This window comes from Homo sapiens, chromosome 14 (genome assembly GCF_000001405.40).
Source record: "Homo sapiens chromosome 14, GRCh38.p14 Primary Assembly".
In the NCBI taxonomy this organism is placed as follows: Eukaryota; Metazoa; Chordata; class Mammalia; order Primates; family Hominidae; genus Homo; species Homo sapiens.
This window is the reverse complement of record NC_000014.9, coordinates 41,136,148-41,145,303: the sequence shown is the minus strand read 5'-3', so window position 1 is coordinate 41,145,303 and position 9,156 is coordinate 41,136,148. Positions and strand designations below refer to the sequence as shown.

The 9,156-nt window shown below is 35.6% G+C and overlaps 1 long non-coding RNA gene across 1 annotated transcript in view, besides 1 other annotated feature; it reads right to left on the bottom strand.

The window, feature by feature from the left end:
• Window positions 222-722: an enhancer, noted in NCBI's record as "H3K27ac hESC enhancer chr14:41613785-41614285 (GRCh37/hg19 assembly coordinates)". NCBI's record gives its function as "activates a minimal SCP1, AML or CMV promoter by ChIP-STARR-seq in naive H9 embryonic stem cells {active_cell/tissue: H9 hESC(naive)}" and the evidence as "EXISTENCE:reporter gene assay evidence [ECO:0000049][PMID:30033119]".
• LINC02315 (long intergenic non-protein coding RNA 2315) overlaps window positions 4,256-9,156 on the bottom strand; it is a 186,338-nt gene continuing 181,437 nt past the window's right edge. The window contains exon 4 of the long non-coding RNA NR_109758.1: window positions 4,256-4,470. This is a non-coding gene — a long non-coding RNA (long intergenic non-protein coding RNA 2315). The remainder of the gene's footprint in view (window positions 4,471-9,156) is intronic.

The following is a 9,156-nucleotide window of genomic DNA, read 5'->3' as shown; positions in this document are numbered from 1 at the left end:
TGTAAGTTCTGGGTGAAGTCTGCAGCCCAAAGTGAGAAATTATAGTGCTATTTCCAGGCCTGCCCATGGTTGCCCATGATTCCCATAAAAACCCTGGACTCAGCCAGACTCAGTTATGTCAGGACTACCTGTCTATGGAAAGAAGCTGTTCGCTCCTGGTCTCCTCTCTACTGACAGCTGGACACTCATCAGGATGACCTGCCTGTTGAAAGGAGCTACCTCTTTGGATATTCTGAGAACTGTTCTGCCACTCATTGAAGCTCCTCTCTGCCTTGCTCACCCTCCAGTTGTCCACATACCTCATTCTTCCTGGACAATGGACAAGAACGTGAGACCTGCAAAATGGTGGGACTAAAAGAGCTGTAATGCAAACAAGGCTGAAATATGCCCCTGCCCCCACCATGTTGCAGGTCAAGAGAAGGAGGGAAGAGCTGTGGCCCTTCAGGGAGTCGAGACTTAGGGGTTCCCAAGCCAGGGCTGTGACAACATCTTTGGGGCTCTGTGGTTCCTGGTGTCTCCAAGCTTCCAGGTGCCACTATATTCCCCTTATCCAGATGCGAGTGCCTGCAGCAGAAGTTGTGTGCAGTGCAACTGGTCCAGGTGCAACTTCCCATGGAGCCAGCACCTGTGCTGGGGCCTGGAGTTGCCTGCCCCACCGCGGCAGCTGGAGTTCCTTGCTGTGCGCAGTGGCTGGACCTCATGCTTGCTCACCCACACACCCCTCCCTGCTCCACACCTGGCTCACCCTTGGCAGGTGTGGAATCTAGGCTGGTTGCACAAACTGACTGTAGCCTGCCAGGCCAGGTGGGTGAAATGAGCCCCGCGGGCATGAGTATTACTCGGGCCAAAGGAGCCGCCGGCCACAGAGGTTTCTGGCTGGTGAAGCGACACCCCAAAGATCCTGTGACACAAGCTTAGTCACACACTTCCTAAAGTATGAAATGTCACCATTCCTCAAAAAGAAAGCATTATGATGAATAATGAAACACAAAATATTTCCAAAAATAATTTCTGCAGAATGCCACTTATAATGTTAATAAATGATATGTCAAAATATGGGAATATTTAACTAGTTTTCTCAAGGAGGCACCATTTTAACAAAAATTATTAAAAATTAATGAGAAGTAATATTAACCAATTTTATTATATATTGTTTAACATTGTCTTCCAGCTCCCCCATCTACCCCCAAAAAAAATGGAAAATATTTGTAAAAATTACAGCTTGCCATTGATGTTCTTACAGAGCAATAGAAATAAATATTCCAACAGAAAAATAAAGAAAAGGACAAATGCAGATTACTTACATAAGAAGGATATAATTAATAAATGTTTTAAGTATTAACATCAGAAGTAATAGAAAATCCCCACAATTAAACCAAAGTAAATTTTTTTTTCATTTTTGCTTGTGAACTATTCTTGTACATTATTTTGGAAGAATACATTAATTTAGTCCCATAAAAACTTTGTAATACAAATTAAAATCAATAAGATTTCAAAAATTGATCTTTTTTGTAATTTTTAAGTCAATTTTTAGTGAAAATTGAGATATAATCAAGATAAAACAGATTTATTTGTAATCTACATTCTCAAAATTTTAAAAATTGAAAGTCAAATATAAAAAAATGTTTAAACCAATTATTATGCACCTATACAAGAGAATAATATAGCCACTGAAATCTGGTAATTTTATTTTTTATTTTTTTGAGACAGGGTCTGACTCTGTCACCCAAGCTGGAGTGCAGTGGCGTGATTTCTGCTCACTGTAACCTCCACTTCCCTGGTTCAAGCCATTCTCCTACCTCAGCTTCCTGAGTAGCTGGGATTACACTCATGCGCCACAAACACCTGACTAATTTTTGTATTTTTATTTGAGACAGGGTTTCACCATGCTGGTCAATCTGGTCTCAAACTCCTAGCCCAAGTGATCTGCCTGCTTCACGCTCCCAAAGTGCTGGCATCACAGGTGTGAGCCACAGTGCCCAGGCTTATTTTAATGAGAAAAAGATATATCTATAACATAATAAAAATAAGAGTAAAGCAATATAATTTACTTGGAGTATAAGATCTTAATTTTGTTGTGTGTATATATATGTACACACTATATATAAATATATATATGTACACTCTCTATATATACACACACAGTGTATATATACATATACTATATATACACACTATATATATACTATATATGTATACTATATATGTGCGTGTACAGGAAAAACTTTATATCAACTACATTATTTAGGGACTCTATATTTTTTGTCTTAAAAAGGTATTTTTAAATTCCATCCAACTTTCTCCATATTCCAAATTATAGAAACTTAACAAGTATTACACTTTTAATGAGAAAAAAATGTTAAATTTTCTAAAAACCTAAAATTTTAGAAAAAGAAAAATATCTAATAACCATAGAAATGTTTAGATCAGAGATATTTGCATGATTATCAAACCAATATGTGAGATTTAAGAGCTGGATTTGTATTATAAAATAACTACATATGTATTTTTAAATTACTGACATTTTTAAAATTAGGCATACTAGTATTTCTAATTTTTTTTTTTTTTTTTTCTGGAGATGGAGTCTCACTCCATCAAACCAGGCTGGAGTATGGAGTGCAGTGGCATCATCTTGGCTCACTGCAACCTCCACCTCCTGAGTTCAAGCAATTCTCCTGCCCTAGCCTCACAAGTAGCTGGGATTACAGGTACACACAGCCATGCCGGCTAATTTTTTTGTATTTTTAGTACAGACAGGGTTTCACTATGTTGCCCAGGCTGGTTTCAAACTCCTGAGCTAGGACAATCTGCCAGCCAAAGTGCTAGGATTACAGGCATGAGCCACCGCACCCAGCCTTTAAATTTCTTGTAAGTAAAAAAAAAATAAAATAAAATAAAAAATACTGGTCAGGTCCATAACACAGCAGGAAATTAAACTAATTACCACACCCAGCATGGAATTGTTTCAAATGATACTTTAAAAGTTAGAAAGTATTTTAAAGTGCATTTCAAAGTTTTTTCATAAAACATAATACACAAGAAAATAAAAGCCAAAAGCAATGCTTGTACTATGATTTCTTTGTATATTTTAATGTGTTTGGAATAAAAACTGTTTTTGTTTAGCTGATCAAAGCTGTTTTGGTTTTCTTATTAAGGTGATAGAACATCACCTGTGAATTTTTATAGACGCCTGGGGAAACACTCAGCAGGATCTAACTTTTTGTTGTGAGTAAAAACCATTTTTCCTTTTATGTGAAAGTTTGCTCTTTATTTAGAAGAAGGAATCCCCTGGTGAGGTGAGTTTTAGCAGAAAAAAATACAATAAAACATACATCTTGAGAGTGGAAGGCATCTGTGAGGAATGCACAATTGAAGATCTATTCATCATTTATATTATTAGAAAAAGTTTTTATTTGAAGTAGATGATAGTTTTGCAAAAATATACTTGTACATGTAACATTAACTTTGTATTCATTTTATAATAGAGTTTATAAATCTTAGGTAATGGTAGGTTTAAAACTTCTGATTGCATTCTCCCTCCTATATAATTTAAAGACTGCACAGTACTATCCACTTTATATCTAATCCTGTATGCTTGATATGATAATAACTTAAGCCACACAGGAATCAAAATTTACAAACAACATGTTTTCAAATTGGATGGCAGTATTTTTTGTTTTGTTTTATTTTTGTTTCAAATAAAAATTATCTTTAAATTGAAGTTAATGTTTTTGTAAGATGCTTAAGGAAGTAAGCATTTATATTACTATTATAAGTGAATAAGTTCCCTTAAATTCGTAAGTCAATGTCCTAAGTCAAAGTACCTCAGAATCTTATCTTAATTGGAAATAGGATCATAGGGTCATTTCAGATGTAATTACTAAGATGAGGTCATATTGGTATATGGTGGTTCCTAGTCCTGTATAACTGGTGTCCTTATACAGAGAGAGGTTGGACGTGCATGGAGAGAGGTGGCCATATGAAGACTGAAATTATGCTGCCATAAGCCAACAAGCACTAGAGATTGCTGGAAAACTACCTGACACTAGGAGAGAGGCATGGAACAAATTCTTCTGCAGAGCCTTCAGAAGGAGTATGGCCCTATTGGACACCTAATTCTCAAACTGCTAACCTCCAGAAATGTTTGACAATAGATTTATGTTGCTGAAGCCACTCAGTTTGTGGCATGTTGTAATTGTAGACCCAGAAAACTACTACAGTTACCAGCAGAACGAAGTGTCAGAAAATGTTTTTTTAGCAATAGTTTTCATTTATTATCATACGATAACTTAAATAAAATAGCATTTGCAAATTTATGTTTCCCTTATTGAAGTTGCTTTGTAGGATTCTTCCTCTAAGTTCTGTTTCCCATCTTGCATTTTCAATTCTTCAGAGATATAGACCAGTGGAACAGAACAGAGCCCTCAGAAATAATGCCACACATCCACAACCATCTCATCTTTGACAAACCTGACAAAAACAAGAAATGGGGAAAGGATTCACTATTTAATAAATGGTGCTGTGAAAACTGGCTAGTCATATGTAGAAAGCTGAAACTGGAACTCTTCCTTACACCTTATACAAAAATTAATTCAAGATGCATTAAAGACTTAAATGTTAGACCTAAAACCATAAAAACCCTAGAAGAAAACCTAGGCAATACCATTCAGGACATAGGCATGGGAAATGACTTCATGTCTAAAACACCAAAAGCAATGGCAACAAAAGCCAAAATTGACAAATGGGATCTAATTAAACTAAAGAACTTCTGCATGGCAAAAGAAACTACCATCAGAGTGAACAGGCAACTACAGAATGGGAAAAAATTTTTGCAATCTACTCATTTGACAAAGGGCTAATATCCAGAATCTACAAAGAACTTGAACAAATTTACAAGAAAAGAACAAACAACCTCATCAAAAAGTGGGCAAAGGATACGAACAGACACTTCTCGAAAGAAGGCATTTATGCAGCCAAAAGACACATGAAAAAATGCTCATCATCACTGGCCATCAGAGAAATGCAAATCAAAACCACAATGAGATACCATCTCACACCAGTTAGAATGGCGATCATTAAAAAGTCAGGAAACAACAGGTGCTGGAGAGGATGTGGAGAAATAGGAACACTTTTACACCGTTGGTGGGACTGTAAACTAGTTCAACCATTGTGGAAGACAGTGTGGCGATTCCTCAAGGACATAGAACTAGAAATACCATTTGACCCAGCCATCCCATTACTGGGTATATACCCAAAGGATTATAAATCATGCTGCTATAAAGACACATGCACACATATGTATATTGCAGCACTATTCACAATAGCAAAGACTTGGAACCAACCCAAATGTCCATCAATGATAGACTGGATTAAGAAAATGTGGCACATACACACCATGGAATACTATGCAGCTATAAAAATTGATGAGTTCATGTCCTTTGTAGGGACATGGATGAAGCTGGAAACCATCATTCTCAGCAAACTATCACAAGGACAAAAAACCAAACACGCTCATAGGTGGGAATTGAACAATGAGAACACTTGGACACAGGAAAGGGAACATCACACACTGGGGCTTGTTGTGGGGTGGGGGGAAGGGGGTGGGATAGCATTAGGAGATATACCTAATGTAAATGATGAGTTAATGGGTGCAGCACACCAACATGGCACATGTATACATATGTAACAAACCTGCACTTTGTGCACATGTACCCTAGAACTTAACGTATATTAAAAAAATAAAAAATAAAATGAAATAAAGTAAAATAAGCCAAGCACAGAAAAAAAAAAAAGCCCATAGACATGGGGACATGAGAAGTTTTTCCACTTAAATACATTTTCTTTTTGTTTTTTCAATAATGTTTGTAGTTTGTAGTGTGCAGGTCTTTCATGTTTGTCTTTGTATCTTAAATCTTAAGCATTCATATGATTCTTACTTTATTTGTAAATTTTAAATAACCTTCGACTATTAGCAATTAGAAATAAAGTCTTTAGCATGCTAACTTTTCTGCAACCCCTTCTCTCCTTCCTAACTTTGCTTCTTGTGTCATTTCCACATCATTAGAGTAAATACGTATATATACTGTGTTGTTAGTCTAATCACCACGTTTGTTTTAGTTTCAGTTCTGTGGTTAAATGTATGTAATGAACACAGAAGGCATTTTTCAATTGGATGAAGTCTATTTTTTTCCAGAACGGTATTCCTTGGACTTTTGGAAGTTAGCATCTAGGTTTATAAGTGAAATAGGCTTATAGTTTTATTTCTTATATTTCCATTTGGACTTGTAACCAAGGTTATAGTAGCTTATAAATGAATTGGATGGCTTTCTTTTTTATATTTTCTATAATTATCTGCATAATATAGAGATATTCTATTACTTAATTTTTTGGTAAAATTCTTCTATCATCTATGAGATTTTCCAGGGGAAAGTCTTTGATCTCTATTGCCATTTTTTTAAATGATTATCAGTGTATTTATTTTCTTTTTCCTCATATCAATTTTGGCATTTTCAGAAAGCACCCATTTCATCTATGCTTTGAACTGTCTGCATATATTTTTATAATATTTTTCTTGTTTTAAATCCTGTGATATCTGTAATTATTTGGCAATTTTTTCTGTACTTTGGCAATTTTTTCTGTACTTTATATATTTTTTTCTCTCTTATTGTCTAATCTAGATCAGTCTCAATAGAGGTTTGTCTCTCATAAATCTTTTAAAACCAGTTCTTAATTTTGTTCTCTACTAGAGGCCTTTCAACATCGATTAATAATGCTAATGTTCTCCAGACGCTTTGGTTATAAACATTTTTTCTGTATATATAAATTCAAAATATAATAAAGCAAATCAATTTTTTTTACATGTAGATAGTGCACAAGACCAATGGGGTTTCTTTCTTATTATGACCAGTATTTTCATTTGTCTGGCCCTCTTATACATATTTAGTGCCTAAATCATGTCATTGTTATCACCGTTATTATGATGGACAAATCATTAGAACCTCAAAGTGTCTGAGTCGCCCATGCAACAGCTATCTTCCCAGGGGTCACCACATCACAACAAATAGCATTCTCCCTAATATAAATCATGTTTCCCAAGAAAACAAAAATACTCCTATTGATAAAAATGCATGCCGTGACAGAACTTCCTATACTTACTTGTTTTGTCGTGGTGGTTGTTAAAAAATAAAGGGAAAGCCAAGTGAACTCTTTCAAAAATTTTTTATTGAGGCAATGAAACTAAACTTAGAATCACATGATTTAGTGTGGTTTGGTGTTAAAAGTGACCATAGAAATAAAATAGTTCATTGCCCTCATTTTGCAATTGAGAAAGGCTTGGCCTGGAGAACTGACATGTACTGACATGTACAAGATGACGCAGTGAGAACCAGAACTCTTTCAGACCACTGATTACAGCTTGAGAATAAACTGATTTTTTTTTTCTTACTGGAACACACTAGAAAAGAAGCAAAATTTCCAGAAACTATAAACTTAGTAGTGATGGTAATGACAGGAGAAAATAATGTTTTTAAAAATTCAGCTTTATAAGTATTAAATAAAGTAGATGTCAATGTTGATAAAACAAGTTTGCTGTGGGTATTTAATTCAAGACAGGTCCGGTTTATAATCACTTTCAGAATACTATCTGGTTACACTTGGGCAGATGCAATGCTATATGTAATTATATTCAGACAATTACTTTATGAGTCCCACACAACTATATTCAGGCATACCTCATTTTATTAGACTTCACTTTATTGCACTTCACTGATATTGCATTTTTTTGCAAATGGAAGGTTTGTGGCAACCCTGTACTGAGCAAGTTTATCAGCATCATTTTTTTAACAGCATGTGCTCACTTTGTGTCTCTGTGTTATATTTTGACAATCCTCACATATTTCAATTATTTGTTTTCATTATTATTATATCTGCTATGGTAACCTGTGATCAGTAATCGTTGATGCCACTATTGTAATTGCTTTGGAGTGCCACAAACTGCAATCATATATGATGGTAAACTTAATTAACAAATGCTGTATGTGGACTGACAGCTTCACCAACCAGTTGTTCCCCCATCTGTCTCCCTCTTCTCAGGCCTATTTCCTGAAATATAACGGTATGAAAATGAGGCCAATGAATAACCCTACAATGGCCTCTAAGTGTTCAACTGAGAGGAATAGTTGCATATCTCCCACTTTAAGTCAAAAGCTAGAAATGATTATGTTCAGTGAGGAAGATATATAGAAAGCTCAGATAGGATGCAATCTAGGCCACTTGTGCTGAATAGTTAGCCAAGTTGTGAAAACAAAGGAAAAAATTCTTGAAGGAAATTAAAAGTGCTACTCTCTTTAATTCTGTGAAGTGTCAGAGGGATGGCAAAGCTTCAGAGGAAAAGGTTGAAATTAGCAATTGTTGGCTTATGAAGTTTAAGGAAAGAAGTCATCCTCATAACATGAGTGCAAGGTAAAGCAGCAAGTGCGGATGTGGAGGCTGCAGCAAACTTTCCAGAAGATCTAACTGAGATAATGGAGGAAGGTGGCTATGCTAACAACAGATTTTCAATGCAGATGAAACAGCTTTCTGTTGCAAAAATATGCCATCTAAAACTTTCATGGCTGGAAAGAAGTCAATGTCTGGCTTCAAAACTGCAAAGGATTAGTGCAGAGAGGCAGATCTCTTGTGAGGGACTAATGCAGCTGATGACTTTTAAGTTGAAGCCGATTCTCCCTTACCATTCTGAAAATCCTAGAGCTCTTTGCCTGTGCTCTATAAATGGAACAACAATTTCCATTTTGCTGGAAATGGAAGAGAGAGCTGGATTATAGCATATCTATTTACAGCATAGTTTACTAAATATTTTAAGCCCACTCTGGAGACCTACTGCTCGGAAAAAAAAAAAAAATTTCTTTCAAAATACTACTTACATAACAATGCACCTGATTACCTAAGAGCTCGGATGAAGGTGTACCAGGAGATTCATGTTGTTTCCATGCCTCATAATACAACATCCATTCTGCTACACATAGTTCATGGAGTAATTTTGACTTTCAAATCTTTTTATTTAAAAATACATTTTATGAGGCTGTAGCTGCTATCCATAGTAATTCCTCCGACGGATCTAGGCAAAGTCAATTGGAAATCTTATGGAAAGAATTCTCA